The following is a 21,433-nucleotide window of genomic DNA, read 5'->3' on the forward strand; positions in this document are numbered from 1 at the left end:
TTCCCAAACAAGGAGCAAAGACAGACTTGAGCCTGTCGTTCAGTCTAACACAACCATATAGGGACCTCAGCACAAAACTCTCTAATCTGGGTGGCCGGAGGCCTGGGTCTCTTCCACTGCATTCCACTGGTCTGCTCATGAAACGGGAGGCGGTTCAGCCGCCTGTGGGAGATAAACACGCCAAGCCTTCAGAACAACTGCAGAAATGCCCAGAGACACTGAGCTAGGGTAATGGGCAGATGCAGGCATGGTTTGCACATTCCACAGAGGATGCCAGCTTGCTATCATGCTGGAATTTCAGGCCATTTCCTAATAAACTGAGAACAGAAAGGGGCAGAAAGGGCTGCCTCTGCCTAGCACGGACTTTTAAAACCCTTCTACCACGGTAGCATGCAAAGAAGAAAGATATTCCTTCAGTCGTCTATAAATACATAGAGGGAGTGATGATTTTATGGTAGGCACACTGTTTATAAATCAAGTTCTTGAGGGAGGTGAGTGGAAATAGGAATTGAAGTATGGAGACAAGGTTGACAGGCCTATGTCTTACAAAGAGGAATTTGGATGTTAGCATTACTATAACTACATTCATTTTTTTGGTGCATTAGCTTTGTCTACTAATTTGTCACCGAGCAATTTAGCAGCATAAGTAGGGACCATCCTTTGACCAGAGAGTCTACCCAGCAGCCTGTCAAAGAAGTAGTTTGGAAAAGAAAGGAGATTGTTCAAAGGAAGCCTCTGTAGCCCTCCTCTCTGCCCACTAACCTCCTTGACAGGAAGTAGAGAGACCAGGTGATATGGTTTGGTTCTACGTCCCCACCCAAATCTCGTCTCGAATTCTAATCTCCATAATCCCATGTCCAGAGAAAGGCTAGGTGGGAGGTGACTGGATCATGGGGGCGTTTTCTCCCATGCTGTTCTCATGAAAGTGAGTGAGTTCTCACGATATCTGATGGTTTTATAAGGCAGTTTTCCCTGCTCTTGCTTGCTCTCTCTCGCCTGCTGCCATGTAAGACACGCCTCTTCCCCTTTTGCCATGAGTTTAAGTTTCTTGAGGCCTCCCCAGCCATGCAGAACTGTGAGTAAATTAAACCTCTTTTCTTTATAAATTACCCAGTCTTGGGTATGTCTTTATAGCAATGTGAAAATGGACTAAGATACCAGGTGACCCTCTCATTTCTCAAAGATATAAGCCCTCATCTCAAGCATCAATGAATAGCTTCAGTGATTTTATATTTGTCTACTAGGTTCTCACTAAACTCATAAAGAAATATTTTTGTGGGTACTGTGAGTATTTCTGGACTGTGGACATGTGAGAAAAATCCCAAAATGAGTGGCTTTATTTTACAGCCATGACCAGCTGTTCACTCATGTTACTATGTCAGATCTGTTTGATTAATGGTGCCCACACATATACATACATATATATCTTTGAAGAATTGCACTATTGATTAGAAAATTTTAAATAGCTTAAGACTAAATCATAACAGGATTTCTCTATACTGCTCGGGATTTGTCTAGCTTTTACCAACCAGAAAACACGGCCATTAGAATGTTAAAATATAAAATCTACACAGTACAACATAAAGTTGGGCATTTGGGGTTAATTCATTAATTTTCATCACAGGAATCATGTGAAGCAAAATTTCCATATTTTCTTGAGTAGGAGGGCAATTTGAGTAGAGGAAGGATTCCCCTTCCTCCTGCTTTTGACTCACGCAGTGTCTGTGTAGTCCTTGCGATCTTTATGAAGTGACTGTTCATCTAAACACCAAAGAGAAGAGTTTTTGCATTCACTTTTATGATTCTTACATCATTTCTACCATTAGTGTACATCCAAAGCTCTGATAATAATCAGACTATGATGAAATAAAGAGACATATTGGAAGAGGACTCAAGGTTTAGTTTTTCTTGCAAGATTTTTTTTCAAATAATCTATGACACTAACCAGGAAAGACTTATAATTGAAAATAAATTTCTAAACAAGTGATTAAATGATCTTATTGCCTGGGTTTGAGATTTATAGTTTCACATCCCATCCAAGTCTCTTCAGTGAGAGAAACCAGCACTGCATGGGTATGAGTGTGTGTGCAAAGATATCTCCAGCCAAGCGGCCAGATACTTCCTGGGGCCAGCAGCCATGTATCCAAGGGGTTATGGAACAATTAGAAAAACAGTAGTGTCACACAAAAAAAAAAAAAAAAAGAAGAAGAAGGAAAGAAAGAAAAACAGTAGTGTCGGATAACTTGGTTGCAGTTCAGGGACACTATAAAATAAATTCCAAGCTAAAGAACATATCCAACAATCATTTCCAGACACGTTGTTCTGCAAACATCATGCACCATCTTAGTAAGATTATTTAGTTATGATTTATTGTAAATTCCTTGAGCGCTGGGGCAGCACTCTGTAGATTTAGATTAGGCCATGTAACTACTGGCAAATAGCCGTATAATATTGATGTCTGGTAAGGAAAATGATTTTCTGCTGGTGCCGAAAAATTGGGCTGTAGAAATTGTTTTTTTCTAGACTGATCATATGCATTGGCTATTTTGTTCAGTTCATAAAATTCATTTTTCTGAGAAGACACAGTGAGAGCAAGGAAACCTTTCCATTTCCCACCTTTGGAATTCCCCAGGAGAGTCACAAACAGTTCTCCTAAGATAGCCCATGAAGACAAAGGCATGGAGTCTACGCTGGCACAATGGCCATCCTGCCACATCTGCAGGGATTTGCCAGGCTCTGCTCTGTTCCTCATTTGAGCATAATTAATATTCTTTATGGGAAATTTGACTGGACACTTTCTATGAAGGTCTAAAGGCTGGTATTTCAGGGATTTATTTTCATAATGTTTTCATTTATTTCAAAATGTGAGAAGATCAGAGAGAAGATACATGGTATATTAAATGTGAGAAAAACCATGCAACATGAGGATGTGAGGAAGGAATGCAGTGACAATTGGCCCTCAGACCTTGACTTTGTGTAAAGGCAAACATTTTGGATCAATACACGGGGGTTATGATTCAGAGTTGAAATTCCAAAGCTATCATTTACTACCACTGTATCCCCTCTGTGCCTTAGCTTTCTTATAAGAAAAATAGGGTTAATATTCATGCCTTATCACAAGGTGGCAATGAGATATGAGGCGTTAATAGGTTAGAAGCACCTAGAACACTGCCTGGCCCATGGTGAGCACGATGTAATTATTAGCTATTATTATTGTCGGATGCTCCATAATGAGGAAGTTAGTTCTAGAGGTGAGACAGACACTTTTTCAGACAAAAGTGCAGAGGTAAACTCTTACCCAGAAGACTCTGACACCCTGTGTTGGTTTCCTATTGCTGCTCTAACAAATTATGAAAAACTTACTGGCCTCAAACAACACAAATGTATTCTGTTACAATTCTTGAGGTCAGAAGTCCAAAACAGGTTTTCAATGGGCTAAAATCAAGGCATTCCTTCTGGAAGCTCTTGTGGGGGTCTATGTCTTTGTATTTTCTAGTCTCTAGAGTCCACTTGACTCATGGCTGCTTCCTCTTTCTTCAAAGCCTGCAGCAGAGCATCTTCAAACTCTCTTTCTGACACTAATCCTCCTGTCTCCCTCTTAGAAGGACCTTCGTGAATATATTGGGCTCTAATGGATAATCGAGGATAGTTCAACATAATCTTCCCATTTTAAGATTATCGATTTAATCATATCTGCAAAGTCACCATTTTGTGTGTAAGGTAACATATCCACAGGTTTAGGGGATTAGTAGGTGAACATCTTGCAGGGAGGATTCATTATCCCGCCTATTACATACCCCCATCTCACCACCCAATGTGTTTGCCATTACATGTCAAGGCTTTTATACCAGTTTCTCAGTTTCCAAAAAGTATTTCTACCAATGGTGTTGGCATCAGATGTACTTACTACACTTAAATAAACACTACCTTAGACTGTTTGTGCTGCTGTAACTAAATAGCTGAGACTGGATAGTTTATTTAAAAACGAGATTTATTTCTCACATTTCTGGAAGCCAGGAAGTCCAGGATCAAGGTGCCAGCATCTGGTGAGGGCCTTCTTGATGTGCCATCCCATGGTGGAAGAAAAGGTGAACCTGCTCCCACAAGTCCTATTTATAGTGGCATTAATCCATTCATGGAGGTGGAGCCCTTATCAATTAAACACCTCCCATTAGGCCTCATCTCTCAACACTGTTGCCCTAGGGTTTAAGTTCCCAACACATGAATTTTGGGAGACATATTAAGATCGTAGCAGACACTTAAGACACGGTACACAAGTCTTATCTTAGGAAAGGGATCAGAAAACTGTAAAGCTACATGCCCATGATCCTGTAATGGCCAACTAGGAAAGTGGAATAAACTTGTATCACTCCTTTATGCTTTTCAGAATGTCTAGATAATGTAATGTATTTATAAGATTCACGAGGCACCTTCAAGAACTTTATTGCATTTTATTTTTGTTTATGAAAGAACAAAATACATGTCAGATTGCAGAATAGCACCTGTTAGATTTAGGAGACAGAACAACTTTTAGCATTCTCTTTGTCACCAAAGATAACTTGAGAAATTAGGTTTAACTATGAAGAACAGAGAGCTTTAAAAGATGTTTTAAATTCCTGGAAAAGAAGGAAAATACCTATTACTCCTTTGTCAATTGCACTTACATTTTTTCCTGCCTCTCCTGCCTTATCTACCCCAACTCACAACTAATATGTGCCAACATTGCCCCGGTGATATGGAACAATGGACTTTCCCATTAACAAGTCAGACAAGCTCTTAACTGAGGACCTTTGCTCATGCTGCTCCTCTGCCTGAAACAGTATTTCCCCCTTGTACTCCTCTAACTCCTTTCCTAATGCCATCTCTTCTTTTAGCACACTTTACATATCCTCCTAAACTCAGCTTAAGTATCCCCTTCCCCTAGGAAGCCCTCTCTACCCACTTCTTTTTTTTTGAGCTGGAGTCTTGCTCTGTCACCCAGGCTGGAGTGCAGTGGTGCGACCTCGGCTCACTGCAACAACCGCCTACCGGGTTCAAGTGATTCTCCTGCCTCAGCCTCCCAAGTAGCTGGAATTACAGGCACCTGCCACTGTGCCTGGCTAATTTTTGTATTTTTAGTAGAGACGGGGCTTTACCATCTTGGCCAGGCTGATCTCGAACTCCTGACCTCGTGATCTGCCTGCCTCAGCCTCCCAAAGTGCTGGGATTACAGACGTGACTCCCTACCCACTTCTACCCAACTAATTTTGGTTAAGGGTGCCTCCTCTGTTTATCCATACTACTTTGTGTTTGCCTCTCTCGTAGCACTCACTATATTGTTCTATAATAATATGTCCAACTATAATATGTTTGAAGGCAGACTAAATTGATTTCGTCTTTGCATTCCTAGAACCTGGAACATTCAGTAAATGTTGATTGAACTGAACTGAATAAAGCACAGAAAATGCTTAGCAAATGGTCAAGGATATTCTGAAGTGAGGGCAAATAAAAATAAGTCAACTAATAGTTATCAGACAATGCTATGAGCTATTTGCTCTACATACATAAACTCATTTAATCCTCACAGCAGCCATAAGGAATACTATTTTTCCCATTTACAGATGAGGAAATGGAGGATCAGATAAGCCAAATAACTTGCATGGCCCCAGAGCTGGTAAGTGGTAGAGCAGGGATTCAAACCCAGACCCATCTGACACCAGAAATTGAGTTCAAGCACATGCACAGAGGTGTGGGTAGTGGCCTGTATGTCAGGCTCCACCCAGGTAGTAGGGAGCGTGAGGTTAAATCATCAAGCAAAAGCAGATGACTTCACTATTCAACATCCCTGCCTCATGAAAGCCTGGGCACACAGGACAATATTGGCACCAGCTAGCTCAAGTGAACCCAGTATTAGCTCTTTTCTCTCAAGCTGACTAGACCCAACTGCCCCAGCTTCCTAGTGATTGAAGCTCTCCTTCACAAAAGACTTTGGATCTACAGGATGACCAAGGTTCCTGGTGTACCCGACGGGTTTCCTCGGTCCTCGGGGGGAAGGGAGGATATGAGACTTTCAGTGCCTTAAAAGTCCCAGGAAATCTAGGATGAGTTGATTATTTGAATCATCACCAATGATTAGAGCAGCCTGTCCTGTATATTACTCATAGGGACTCTTCCTTTCAGAAGCCTTTGGAGAAGACCACAAACAAGCCATTTATACCAATGGTATTGACCAGCGTTGTCCAACAGAACTTATTGCAATGACGGAAATATTCAACATCAGTGCTGTCCAATACAGTAACTACTAGCCACATGTGACTATTGATCATTGAAATGTCTATAGGCTTTTTAAATTTTATTTAATCTTAATTACATTTTAATTTGAATAGCCACATGTGGCTACTGACTTCCATATTGGACAGCACAGGAGTAATAAGTTTTAAATTTGGCTGCAACTGAAATTGCCTAAGGGGCTTAAAAAATCCCAATGCACAGGCTACACTCTAGATCAATTAAATCAGAGCATCTGAGATGGGACACAGATGTCTAATGTGTATCCAAGAATAAGAACCTTCAGAATAGACCAGGGATCCCAAAATATGGCCTACGAATTGACTGCATCAGAATCAACAGAGGAGTGTATTAATAATATGCAAAGCTGACTCTCTTTCCCCTTAAAAACACCTCCTAAATTACAATCCCTGGAGAAGACCTTAGAGTCAATTTTCCAAAATAAACTTTTCATATTAGAATAGAAAAGTTGTGAAGATAATACAGAGAGTTCTCATGTACCCTACACCTAGTTTCCCCTAATATTAACATCTCACATTACTGTGGTACATTTTCCATAATTAATGAACTGATATTTATACATTTTTAAGGAATCTTCAGAATTCATTCTGATTTCCTCAGCTTTTACTTAATGTTCCTTTTTTGTTCAAGGATACCATGCTGCATTTAAGTCAAGTCTCTTTAGCCATGTCCTCTTAGCTGTGACAGTTTCTCAGACTTTTCTTATTTTTAATGACCTTGACAGTTTTGAGGAGTATTGATCAGATGTTTTGTAAACTGTCTCTCAGTTTGGATTTGTCTGATGTTTTTCTCATGATTAGACTGAAATCACATGTTTTTGAGAAAAAGACCCTAGAGGTAAGTTGCTATTCTCATCCCTTGATATCAAGACAAGATGCTACCAGGATGACTTATCACTATAGATGTTCATCTTAATCACTTGACTAATGTTTGCCAGGTTTCTCTACTGTAAAATTATTTTTCTGTCAGTATCTTCCATACTATACTCTTTGGATAGTAGTTACTAAGTACAGCACACACTTAAAGAATGGGGAGTTACACTTCACCCCCTTGAGGACAGAGTATTTATATAAATTATCCAGAATAAAAATCTATTTTTGATACAATCCTCAATGATTCTTATTCATAACAAAATTTGGGAATCACTCAGACAAACAGCTGAAGGAGGCAGAACCACATGACATCCAGTTTGACCCTGATTCTCTGAGTGTGGATGACATGGTGAACTGGCGGATTTGCTAGACTTCTGTGAAGACTAGCTGATAGTCACTTATTTAGTCTAGAAACCAGATCACTGCTCCTCTAAACGCAAAACAGTGAATAAACATAGAATTGTTGATATTACCACCGAGTGTTTTGGAGTTGGAATCCAGCATATTGGAGGAGAAAAAAGCCATACCAAGAAGGATACATATAGTGCTTTGGACCAAAATCATAGCGACCAAGAGGCATTCCCTAAAGAAGACAAAATATCAGTGGTATCAGGTAGAGAAATAGGGAACTGGTGGCCCGAAGGTTCCTGGAATATATGGCCATGTGAAGAGGACCACCATGACCCATTGGCATGTACAGGACACTTTAGAGCTACAATACCATTATTGACAACAATGACAAACATTCACTAAGTCGTTAGCAGAGTTAGTTTACGGTGTAAAGGGTGATTCAGAAACTCATTTGTCACTAGTGGATTCCTTGAACTAGTAACAAAGCTATCTTACCAAGGGGAAATTGTTTTACTATTGCTGCTTATAAGCCACAGAAAGTCTCTGTTCTCTGGATCCCTGCTTGGCTTTGGTAAAGCTACAGTTAGAGACTCAACCTCTTGGTTTCTCAGAACATTAATTAGTGCATTGTTCAATTTTAGTAATCAAGGAGTGTGTGTGTTGAGAATTGTGGGAGGTTTAGAAGCCTGGTCACACCCAGGAGCAGCTCTGAGTAACTGAGAATGCTTAGTCAGAAGTGAGGACTATGGGGAGACACTTAATGCACTGAAGTGATGTGAGGTAGAAGAGTGAGCGTCTTTCATGTTCCCTGTGAAAATATAAGTAGCACTCATGGGTTATGTCTACAGAGAAATAGATTTCCTTCACCTTCACCTAGAAACATAAGTTAAAGTTTCTAACAACCTAGCAACACAGAGGACAGATTGCCTTATGGGATAGTGAGTGTTTTGTCCATTGAATTAAGTAAGTGGATGCAAGATGACCTCAGGGCTATTATAGAAAAGGTTTGTGTACTATGTAGAAAATGTGAAGAGACTTTTAAGTATCCTTTAATTCTTTCACTTTCCATCCTCTTGATATAGTATGAGTGACACCTTGCCAACTGTCTGGGATGTCACTGCTCATCTCTGTTTCTTCATCAGTGTCAGCTGTTACACATATGCAATGTGCACTTAGAAGAGTGTGATGCTTTTCTTAAACTGGCTGATTTATACACATCAGAGGAAGACATAACTTAGGCAAGAATAGCCACAGAGTAAGAGAGAGACCCTCAGTGTAGAGATCCACAGTCCTGACTTTGCCATCAAGATGCTATTATGAAAGAGGACAAGATCTTTACATCTCTGAATCTCAATAATCTTTCCTAAAATGAAGACTTTGTGCTAATTCACCTCTCAGTTTTCTTCTAGTTCTGACATTCTATGCAGTCTTCCCTTTGTCCTTATTCTCTGATGGTGTTTGCTAGGTTTCAATGAAAAGGTACTAGGCTTTATTATTCAGTGAAAATCACAAACCTTAGTGTTTACTGATGGTGCCTTAGAAAATATAAATGACAGGATTATAATGGCTGCATTGATTTGCCTTTCTACTTCTTAACTTCTTAACTTCTCTGTGTGCACACCCTTTATATGATATTTTTGCCATGCATCAGTAATCTATATTCCAAAATCTAAGACAAGTTTTGCAAATTCAGATGCCTATTGGGGCAAGGATGACTGAAAAGGCCAAGTGGTACTTCTGATAAACAGAGGACCTAGGTCTCCTGCAAGGGATTGGCCACCACTCAGCCCCATCTGTTGTTGTAATGCTAGTTCAGAGTTGCCAGATCTTCCACTTTTTATGAGAAGGTAGAAATTGTAACCTTTGTGCAAAAATCCCTTCATTTAAAATGATGGCAATTAACTAACATTTTTAAAAAAGGACAACAGGCTAAATCAATGTTTGCTGTGGGTCTTCAGTTTGTAAATTCTGATCTACAAACAATAACCAATCCAATCACAGCTCCAGTGCTTCCTGACAACCCAACCTACAGTATTTCAATAGGTAATTAAATAATAAGAAAACAAAAGTATGAAATGTCATCAAGGATTAGTGGTTTAAAAAAAGAGGAGATAGTCTCAGTTAGGATATTTCAGACAGGCATCTGCCTGCCTTACTTTGTTATCAGCTTCTTAGATGTGGTTCTGTAAGTTTTGCTTAGGAAGGAAGTAGTAACAAAAGCTCTTGGCTAATTGTCTTTGGTGACAAATACCACAGATGGTGTTATATCCCAAGTGTATGAACGTAAGAGTGTCACACACTATTTCAGTGTCTAAAATAAAAAGAAATGACCATTTTATCAGCACGTGATTACCATGATGTGGAATAAACTTCATAAGTGTATTACTCTGTTCTCATGCTGCTAATAAAGACATAACCTGAGACTGGGTAACTTATAAAGGAAAGAGGTTTAATGGACTCACAGTTCCACATGGCTGAGGAGGCCTCACAATCATGGTGGAAGGTGAAGGAAGAGCAAAGGGACTTCTTAAATGGCAGCAGGCAAGAGAGTGAGTGCAGGGGAATGCCCCATATATATATATATATATATATATATATATATATATATATATATATATATATATATATATATATAATATTTTTTTTTTTGCAAAAAGGCACATGGATGAAGCTGGAACGCCCCTTTATGAAACCATCAGATCTCATGAGACTTATTCACTGTCACGAGAACAGCACAGAAAAGACCCACCCCCATGATTCAATTACCTCCCACCAGGTCACTTCCATGACATGGGGATTATGGGAGCTACAATTCAAGATGAGACTTGGGTGGGGACACAGCCAAACCATATCAGTAAGAAAATCAGAAAATTTCCAGGATGCCAATTTTCTGGGAAGCTTTTGAGCAGCATAGGTTTGGAGCAAATGCCTACTAATGTCTTAGTGTAAATTTATTTCCAGAGATTCTCAGAGGGGAATGGAACTTACATTTATTTAATGCCTACCATGTCCCCAAGTATAGTACTTATTACATAGATAATAAGATGAATAAAGTAGTTTATTTCTTACTCGTCAGGAGTAAGTCTGACTTACTAGGAAAGGGATGACTAGAATCTCATGAGAATTTTAAATTTTTTACACTCACCTTATTTTATTTAGTCAAGACATTTTTTGTCCCTCTCCTAGAGGTCACTCTGGGAAGTTCAGCAGTTTCAGCAATGCTTACCAATGCTCAGATCTCTGGACCTATTTAAACCAATAGCAAATACTTTTGGATCACTGTAGTGTTGGCACGTCTCTGTCCCTGGAGGGTGAATTTGATTTTTGTCTGCAGCCAAATGCCATTCTCATTGGAGGCTAGTGAAGAAGGTGAGTTGACAAGCTTGGGCATTACCATTTTGGGTCAAAAAAGAAGTAGGTTCTGGAGTAATCAAACTAATATCCGTGTTTGGCTTGTAAAGAACCAGGATGGGATGTACAGTCTTTGTTTAGCTATACATTCCGGCAGGTTTTCTTAAACTTGTCTTTTTTTCTGCATGTCCACACTTTATTACAATGCTACAGTTTCTAATCCTCTTTTAGCTAGACTAAAAGGCTCTTTCCTACTTTGGCGTCTAATTTTGTATTCCTAGTTTTCCTAACAGGCCCTACCTAAGTTTAGTTCTATATTAGTTTACTTTACTTTGGTTTAGTTTCATATGTTTTTATATTTTTTTATTTTATTCTATAATTTGTGTATTTTGTTATATATTTTAGTTTACTTTAGTTTCATATATTTACTTTAGTTTAATATATTTTAGTTTAGTTTCACATATTTTGCATTGTATGGGAGGAAAAAAGAATTCTCTCTCTATTCTTCCGAATTCTTATCTGGAACCCCTGCAAAAAAAGGCAGATGAAAAAGAAAAAAGCGAACAGAAGTTTATTAACAAATAGGCTTCACGTATATATGGGAGATACCCAGGGAATGAGCAATTCTCAAAGAAGTGGCTTAGAACTCTGGTTTATGTGGCATCATCAACAAAGAACAACACATTGGTGGGGAAGTAACAAGACAAGGGGAAAGGATCTTGAGTTTCTAGGGGTGGCAAATTGTGGGAAAACAAATACATGGGAAACTAATGATAGACAAAAGGTTATATAGTAAAGTCTGTTATGTAGATTTCCCTGTGCCATCTTCAGGCAAGCAAGGGCCTAAGGTCATCCCTGGTGATCAACCTTTGTCCTTCTTGGTAGAGAGGGAAGGAGGGACACCTTTATAAGTGTATGTCCTGCTTTTAAGCAAATAGGGGTAGGGCAGAGAGATTTTTTGTATCTACTTCTCGATTGCTTTCAACCCAAAATAATCCTTATGCCAGAGAGGCATATTTTGGGGTGGCATATTCAGCTACCCTTCAGCAAAAAGTATCTACATATCTTGTACCAACTGGTCTCCTTCCCTGTTTGCAGCTGTACAAATTAAGGTATTATGAAAGCATGGTCATTCAAAGGAGGCACCCGTTCTGCTGCTCCTTTGTAACTTTCTTTTGCCCGCCTGTTTTTCCTCTGCCCTCCTGTTTGCTGCTCCTTTGCAACTTTCACTCCAAGCTTTACAAACATTTTTAGTGTCTTAAGTTTCCTCCTTCCCCACAACACACAAATTCATATAGTCCAGCCCTGTGTATTCTATTTCCAGAGCCGGGGATAGCTTCCCTTTTCTTCTTCTGCCAAATCATGTTTCTGCCTTATTTTAAAAGTCTACTCAAAATTCATCTACAGCAAACCTTCTTAGATGCATTTTTTCTACAGGGAGAATGCTCCAATCACTCCAGTGATTTCATCAGCACACTTACTTGATGTAAGCTCTTATATTTTCTCACATTTGCAGTATATTCACCATTAGGTTGTAAACTTTTGGAGGCAGCCAGTGTGTTCATTTTTCCCTTAGGGCACCCTGCCCTTCTACATATAGTAGAAACTCAGGAATTTGGTTAAGCAACTTTCTATTTTCCCCAAACCTTAAAAGAGCTGTCTGCAATGACCATCTCAGACGTTGTTAGTTTCAGAAAGTTTCCCTAATTTATTTTAAGGAAAGAACAGATAAGATGCATAAGATAAGGGACATTCTCTGGCTGTAGGCTTTCTTTAGCACATTTCAGGATTATTATAACATAAAAGCCTTGCCCTATTTTCCTTAAGCAGCACGCGGCTGCCTAGTGTACTTGCCTTAGGAGGTCAAACACATTAGGTATACCAACATATCGACCACCAAAAGCCAATGCACAGAACAGAGGTCCTCGGGCAAACAGGTTGAACCATAGTTGCAAGGTCAAGCCATTATAATGCAAAGCATCCAAGGGTGACCATCATGCTTTCCCCTGCGTTTCTGCAAAGCACAGATTTTCCCAGGGATTGCTGAGCAAAGAGCCCCTTACTAAAGAAACAGCAGACTCCATGGAAGAGTGTCAATTTTATGATCCACTGCTGGTTTGGGCTGATTTGCTTTTAACTAATTATTGATCACCGTAATGACTAACTTTTGAGAGAGCCCTGCCAAAAATAAATATTCCTTAAATGAGGTACACCAATGTTTTTTTCCACTCCAGTCCTTGAAAATGGTGAGTTAGAGCAGAGTTTCCTAAAGCATGGCCTGAATTTACGGAACCATGGTCAACAGAATCACTTGGGCAATTTGTTAAAATGTATTAGGTTGGTGCAAAAGTAATCACGGTTTTTGCCATTGAAAGTAAGGGTCCTAATACATTCCTGGGGCTCACCTGAGCCAGGATTTCTGGCATGGGGCCTAGAGATCTGCATTTAAACAAGAGCCACACAGAAGCACTTGGACAGAGGGTAAGAAGGGAATGTGATACTGAAGTCTCAAAAATACAGAAGAATAGTAAGGAATGATCTTCATCAATATTATCATAGCTTTTTCTTGTTAGATTATAGGATCCCAGGCTTATGTCCTCAGAGAACAGAATGGAGAGCAGATTTATAGACAGGGAAGGGGATTGGACAGGACTGTGGGCCTGCATTCTATTTTAGGCCCTGCCTCTGATTGTCTGTGTGGCTTTGAAGAGTTCACTAAGCCCTTTGGCCCTCATTTTGTAATCTATAAGTGTGTGGGCCTATTATTTTAATATCCTGTCTACCTCTAACAATTTCTGATTGAAATATTGAATTTGAAAATATAAATAGGCAGTATAAACTCTTCTGTTTATCTGTGGCGTCTGTGAGGTAATAAGCAGAAGAGGTTGATAGTTTCACAAAAGGAAAGCATGACTTAGACAGAGTGCCTAAAATTCTGTCCCGGGAACCATGATCTCCTCATCTACTGGCTGTCTGTGTTTGGGCAATCACCTGCATATCAGTTTCCTCATCTGCAAAATGACAATGGCACTTGCCAGCCACCACTTTTCAGGGCTCCTGAGCAGGTCAAAGACGTAACCTGCTCAAATGTTTTGAAAACTATTAAGTGCCAATCAGATTATCAGTTGTCACTCAAATTTGGATTAATTAGGTCAGATATTAGGTGTCAGGTGGTGTTTAAATCCTTGTTGTCCAGAGTGACATGGGAAGCACTGGAAGCTTAGGATACCATTAGGAGATCCTGAGGCTTGAGTGAGAAGATCCCATAAAGAGCAACACGGCTCAAACAGCGCCAAGAGGGCAGGCTGTGTGCCAAGATCAGCCTGGGAGTTTATACAACACTTATTTTAGCTTCAGACATACTTTAGCCCCTAGAAAAGAAAGTGAACAGGAAGAGACCCTCGAGATATCTTTGGATGCATCAAGAATTTTAAAAGCTGCAACTTGGAATTCAAAGCATTCACTTCCTTTTCCAACAAAATTGAGACCCTATAGGGTAATTTTATACTGAAGAGCTCCCAGTTCTTTAAACCTGATTGGAATTTGAGATAGTTGGAACAGGACAAGACTCTTATTACCTATGATAAAAGGCATCATCAGGTAGGGGCAAGAGTATGGACTCTGGAGGTAGGTTGGATTCATATCCCAGTTTTCAACAATTTATTTTGAGTCCCTTGGCAAATCATCTAGCATCTCACCTCAGTTTTTTCATCTATAAAATGAGAAGGATGTAACACCTGCTTCATCAGGTGGCGATGAGGACAGATGCGAGAATACAGTGGAATACTGAATTCTGGTGACTTTCAATATTCTATTCCTCAGCACTAACCCATGCTTACATGCATTTTATGACAATCCACGTTACCTAAGCCCAAATTATTACCTGCAACGCAGCTTGGCAACCTTCAAACACTAACCAAATCAGGTATCAGAGCCCTTGTTTCTTGAACTTTCAAAGACAGAAGATGAACATATAAAATAGAATATTTTGTTTCATGATTTTGTTACTGTAAGCCATGTCTGGTAAAGACCAATACAAGGAAAATGGGCTGAATCTGTGAATTACATCAGCAGGTTCAGAATAAATGATGGCTCACACACCAGAACTCATTTCAATCATCCCTAAATTTAAAACAGGAAAATGGTTGGCAAAGTTGTTCCCTTTCTTCCTCTGGAGAAACTACTTGAAATAAATATGAATTTGAATTTTACATGAATGATATCTCAAGAGTTTGTTAGTATGATTATCATACTTCAAGTTTATGGCTTATCCAGAAATCAAACAACTATAGTAACCAGATAAAAGTCCTTTTTTTTTTCTGTAACATATAACAGTAATTAGAGTTTTCTACTTGTGACCTTAAGGTGTGTTGTCATGGTCTTGACATTTCTGCAGAAGTAAACTATTCAATTCAGTAGTTTCTGTGTTTGCAGTTATATGTATTTAACTTGTATTTTGCATATTTAATTTGTATTTAAATCGCTAAAAACTGGTAACTCAGAAATGTTACGTATAGACATCCTCATTTATCCAGAATATTTGACTAACCAGACACCTAATTATGTTTTGAGTGGTCCTATCTATGCATTTAATGAATGTTCTTATTTTGTAGCCAGCATATGTAATACAGGTGATTCCTTTCAGCGATGGGAGCTGGACAAATCTATATGCAGGGTTTTTGATCATCTTGGGTTTAAAACTCATAATGGAGCAATTAAAACCATGTTTGTTTTCCTGAATCCATGACAACAATAACTTTATCCCAAAACCAGCTGTGAATGTTGGTAACACGGGCACTCTGCTGACCTGAAGGAATGCAGGCACAGTGCATTTTGCACACATGTTTGTCGGTAGAGTACTTTTTTGGTAGAGAGGAAGAGAAAATTCTGGCTTCTTTAGAGAAGTGGATGTAGGCAATCCCTCCTCCAAAAGTAGTCAAAATACCACTCCAGAGAACCTTGACTTTATAAGGGAAGGCAGCTTCTGAATCACTGAAAGCCTTTTCCTCCTTAATTCTCACTGGCTGGCCTGGAATGAGGCTCTGCTAAAAATGTTAGAGGCAGCTGTTGATATAGGCATTTCTGTCCTCTTTTCTAGTACCATAATGTGTGCATGTTAAAGAGATTCTGCAGGTCCCTTATACCTTATTCATCCCTTTTAAAGCCTTCTTCTTGGAAAGTAGATGTGGAGGATCTAGAATTGGAAAAGTTTCTGTCTTTCAGAACTTTGTGTAGGTTTGGTATTCATAAAACATTACATTATTTGATGTCTCCCCCCAACCCCCACCCCGCAATACTACACAGAGATGAAAAATGTGTTTAGGTAGAAGATCCTCCTAAATAAGAAGGAAGGGTCTGGAAAGCTGTTATCTGGGTTGTATTACAACTTTGTGTTTTTTTCTCTCTTATTAAATAATACTCAAGACAAACACTTTTATAAGTAGGATCTTGATTATTGAGGCAAGAAGTATAATCTTAAGCAGTGAGAATGGGGGAAATTGGAACACATTGTTATTCCCATAGGATCAGCATAGATTTCCGTAATGTCCAAATTACCTTGCCATTTCTTTCATTTCCCAAAAAAAGCTCTTTAGTGTCAATTTTCCATCAAAAAAAAATCTTTGGAAGAAGTGAGTATTTCCACATTCTGCTATGCCTTAGGGCATCAGCTGTGCCCAAACTCATGCTTGTAAGGCTGAATGGTCACTCTGCTTTTGATGTCTCTATTTGAAAAAGCCTACAAATCCAAAGAAAGCATGCCCCCATTGGCATAGTCTCTGTTGTGCAAAGGAGACTTTCAGAGCTTTAGGCTCCATCTGTCATGATCATTTTTCAAACAGACTATTTTTTAGATCAGTTTTATGTTTGCAGCATCAAGATCACTTTTTTTTTTGGCTGGTTTACTCCTACTCAAATTGTTTCTGGCTCTCTGGGATGACCAGTTTCTCAAGGAAAGAAACCTCCTCTGACCACCATATCATCCTCCCAACTATATCTTTTCATATACGTTAATAGCACTCTATCTTTCCTTCATAGTACTTACTGTAGTTTGTAGTAATACATTTGATACAATTATTTCATTCGTATACATCTTCCTCACCAGCCTAGGGAAGGGACACTGATTGTTCACCATCATATCCCAGTATCTAGCACAGTGCCTAAGGGATAGGAGGGGCTCAGTAAATATCTCTTGCAAGGATGTTGTTAAATTGTAAACTCTGCCAAGGCCTTTATGTTGAATGAATGAATGAACGAATGAATGAATGCCTCTAACTCTTCATAAAATAAACACTTTTTGGAAAAAATTGCTCATGGCAGACGTCAGATGTAACCACACTGATAACTGGAAAGAAAAATGAATTTAGATGGGTTTTAGAGATAGAACAATGTTTCTAATATTCAAGCAGTCCATAAATCCCTTATACTTAATGTTAAAATTCAGGATATGATACCTAAAGAAAGGTTTTACTGTACTTGGATCAAGGCACCTACCAACTTTTTCTCTACTCATAGGCAAAGTCACTACCCTGTTTAAGGAGGTCTTTGGACGTTTCCATCTCAAGAAACAGCTCTTCAATCTCTCCCTTGTATTCCACCTTCCAGAACCACCCAGAAATTCCAGTAAAGTCTTATTGACCTGATTGTCTGTCCTCTTCGCTGAGTTCCTTTTGAATGCAGCAAATTGCTGTGCCCTTTTCTGACTTCCATTTCACTTTTATCCAGCTTCATAGGAGCTTAGGCCCCTGCTTGTTGAGGAGGGCGTTCAGTTAGTGCTGAGACTACCTGAATAGGTCTGGTTCTAGCTACTCACAACTCAGAGAGGTAGTGAATGCTAGGAGGTAGGAAGAAGGACATTCAACCAGAATACTAAAATTGCATTTAGATAGTCCAGAAATTAGACAGTTGGCACAGCATTAGAATTCCCCATTTATCCTTACAATAGTTTGCTGAGAATGATGGTTGGGAATTGAACAATGAGAACACTTGGACACAGGAAGAGGAACATCACACACCGGGGCCTGTTGTGGGGTGGGGAGAGCGGGGAGGGATAGCATTAGGAGATATACCTAATGTAAATGACAAGTTAATGGGTACAGCACACCAACATGGCACGTGTATACATATGTAACAAACCTGCACGTTGTGCACATGTACCCTAGAACTTAAAGTATAATAAAAAAGTGTGTGTGTGTGTGTGTGTGTGTATATATATAAAGAATTCCCCACTTAATATTTATACATCCAAAAACTGACAAAAATAATGTCTGAACTCATGTCTGACATTCAGATTCCTCCGCCCAAAGGCAATAAATAAAATAATACTAAGATGTAAAGGCAAACCTTGTCTTCTGTCATGATCTACAGATGGCACAAATAATAGACATTTTCCCGAATAATGGCGTCTGATTTTCAAGCAATGCTTAGCCAATTGTAGATTTGGGCAGAAAAAGTTTGTACCAAGCATTTGAGCTGGAAAAGGCAGATATTTTTCTTGACCTCACTTTTCCTAAAGTTCACAACTTCTGCTACTTAAATGAGTATCTCATCTCTAAGTGTGTGAAGTAACAGATGATGTATCTGTTTTTCATCCTCAAAGAGTTAACTTGATAAAATAAGTACAGCTAAGGACAAACACAAACACAAAATGAGAAAACTTCATGCAGTATGTTTTGTGTTTTGTAAAGGGTGCCAATGGCATGGAGCCATCTGATTCTGTTGCAGTCTTTGGCAACACGGCCCATTTAAATTCAAGTTAGGATCTGAGTGTTTGGGTAAACAGAATAAGCTAAGAATGAGTGGCAGACATATTTCCTCAAATCCCATCTGATACAGGTTTAGATCCAGATTTTGTCATTTGACTAACTCCTTCCTTTTTTAGATGATTTGGATTTGCCTTTTTTTCTTATAATAAAAGTCATAATGCCAACCACTTTAAGAGTTCTTTTGCTGCTCTTTTTTGTTGCTATCTTTTTGTAACTAATAGGACACGTGTAAGACTATAATACAAACAGGAGTCCTAGCATGTAATGGCTTTAGCAATTTGTGCAATATCCCTCTTTTTGTCCTTCCTGCATATTTTCTCCCTAGAAAGCAGCCAAGAATTGGTGTTCAGAGGGTGATGCTCTGATGGTGAGCAGATCTACAGTTTGCCTAACAGTTTATTTAAGCCAAATTTATAGTTTCTGAAGCGCTAGAAGGCTGCTGTCCAAGGGGACTACTTTTTTTTTTTTTTTTAGATGGAGTCTTGCTCTGTCGCCAGGCTGGAGTGCAGAGGCGTGATCTCAGCTCACTGCAACTTCTGCCTCCCCAGTTCATGCTATTCTCCTGCTTCAGTCTCCTAAGGAGCTGGGACTACAGGCTCACACCACCACGCCCAGTTAATTTTTGTATTTTTAGTAGAGACAGGGTTTCACCATGTTGGCCAGGATGGTCTCAATCTCTTGACCTTGTGATCCACCCGCCTCAGCCTCCCAAAGTGCTGAGATTACAGGCATGAGCCACCACGCCCAGCCAGGGACTACTTATTAACTGGCCATTTAAAATGAAATGAAACAAGGTCCTCAATTGCTAACGATTAAGGGGAGAGGAGTGTAAATTCAGCTATTGTCTTGTCTTCAGGCAGCAGGAAATTAAGGGATTGGTAACTGTTATTTGTAATAGTAATTGATGTCACAAAAGGAGTTTTGAGAACAGGGAGTTTAGGAAAAAAATTGATCTCCTTTTATTTTTAGTCTGTTAATATTTAATGTAATATTTGATACAGTTCGATTTAGATTTACTGTTCTTTGATCTATTTTTATTTTTTGCCTTTTTTGTTGTTCTCTTTCTTCTCTCCTGCCTTCTTTTATATTGTTTAATTTTTTTTCTAAATTTCATTGTAATTTATCTATTAGCTTTTTAACTATATCTTTTGGCATTATTTTTACAAAGTTGCTCTAGGGATTACAATATACATCCTTAAATACTCACCATCTACTTCATGGAAATTACTGTAACCTTACAAATGTATAAATCGATTTTACCCTTGTTCATCCCATTATAATGTATATTATAAGCCTCATACAATGGTATGATTTTTACTTTTTCTCTGCGTTGTTTCTAGTTAACTATATGTGCTATCAAAGTGAGACCCCATTTATCTTTTAATCTGTTTCTGATTGTTTTTCCAGTGTCTACTTAACTGAGACTCTTACAGGTAATTTTGTAGGATACTAGGTGTTTTAGATGGCAAATATAAAGATTGTGTTTGTGTATGTGTATGTGTTTATATGTGAGGGCCAATCTATTGAAAAGAAACACTGCAGAATACTAAAGCAAAATTGAAACCATTTAGAGTTTGTAGTTGTTTTATTTTAAAAGCTAACCTTGTAAGTACTTAGTCTTTCAAAAAATAATTTTAACTTCTATGTTTTATTTTTCTATTTTAATTTTTCCTGGGCCTTGCCTCCCAATCCTCTCACCTTCCCTTTCTTCTGTGTGACCTATAGATTCAGAAATTCCTTTCTGGGATAATTTCTGGCACTGCTTTGGAGATGGAGCCCCTGAAAATTGGCTATGGACCAAATGGATTCCCACTCTTGGGGATCTCTAGGTCATCATCACCATCTGAACAGCTCTGAGAGAGACAAGAAGTGGAATGGAGAAGGTGATTAGGTAATCCAAGAATTGCCAGGCGAACAATTGTGAAAATCTTTCATAGAGTTCCCGATGAAAACAACTCTTTCTTGTTAGCCATTATCTCTGCCTTTCCTTTCTAAAGAAAAACACGTCATTTCATCTTGATTATCAGTTTCTCAAGTACTCATGGATGTGAGGCCAGGTACCCTGTCACCTTGGCTCTGTTTGGGATGCAATGTTGTGTTTGTCACCACTTCCCATTCCCCAAAAGCATCTTTAACATAGACCATTCATTCTTCAGATTCAAAATGCTTAAGCTGAACTAACCTCAAAGGGCCCTCATTAATTTACAGACATTTGAATAACACCCATATTCATTTCTGCTACTGAACCAAAGCCTTTTCCAAAAAAATCATCTAGCAAACTGTTTTTGCCAGGCCAAATATTAACAGGTATATATATTTGCATACATAAATATTTACCTCTATGTCTTGTGTGTTTTTGTTATGAGACAGAGTCTCACTCTGTCGCCCAGGCTGGAGTGCAGTGGCACAGTCTCAGCTCACTGCAACCTCCACCTCCCAGGTTCAAGCGATTCTCATGCCTCAGCCTCCCGAGTAGCGAGGACTACAGGCGTGCACCACCACGCCCAGCTAATTTTTGTATTTTTAGTAGAGATGGGGTTTTACCCTGTTGGCCAGGGTGGTCTCGAATTCCTGACCTCTGATGATCTACCCGCCTGGACCTCTCAAAGTGCTGGGATTACAGACATGAGCCACTGTGCCCTGCCTCTGTTTTGTGTATTTACATAAATACATGTCTCCAGAGCTTTAAATTCTTCTTAAATTTTAAAACTAGAACTAAACCAGACATTGAGAGGACCCAGAAATATACCCTGACTAACGTGGGTGGAATTTCATTTGGCTTGACTCTTTGGTGAAAAAAAAAAAAAT

General features: G+C 39.1%; 2 protein-coding genes across 8 annotated transcripts in view; one reads left to right on the top strand and one right to left on the bottom strand.

Moving 5' to 3' along the window:
* The window catches only part of ACTA2 (actin alpha 2, smooth muscle), a 56,264-nt gene that overhangs the window by 17,758 nt on the left and 17,073 nt on the right, over positions 1 to 21,433 (bottom strand). The window lies entirely within an intron of this gene.
* The window catches only part of FAS (Fas cell surface death receptor), a 53,010-nt gene continuing 42,795 nt past the window's right edge, over positions 11,219 to 21,433 (top strand). Inside the window, exon 1 of the mRNA XM_006717819.4 lies at positions 11,219 to 20,516. The gene's annotated coding sequence lies outside the window, so the exon portion shown is untranslated. The remainder of the gene's footprint in view (positions 20,517 to 21,433) is intronic.

The sequence above is a fragment of the Homo sapiens genome, chromosome 10 (genome assembly GCF_000001405.40).
Source record: "Homo sapiens chromosome 10, GRCh38.p14 Primary Assembly".
Lineage (NCBI taxonomy): Eukaryota > Metazoa > Chordata > Mammalia > Primates > Hominidae > Homo > Homo sapiens.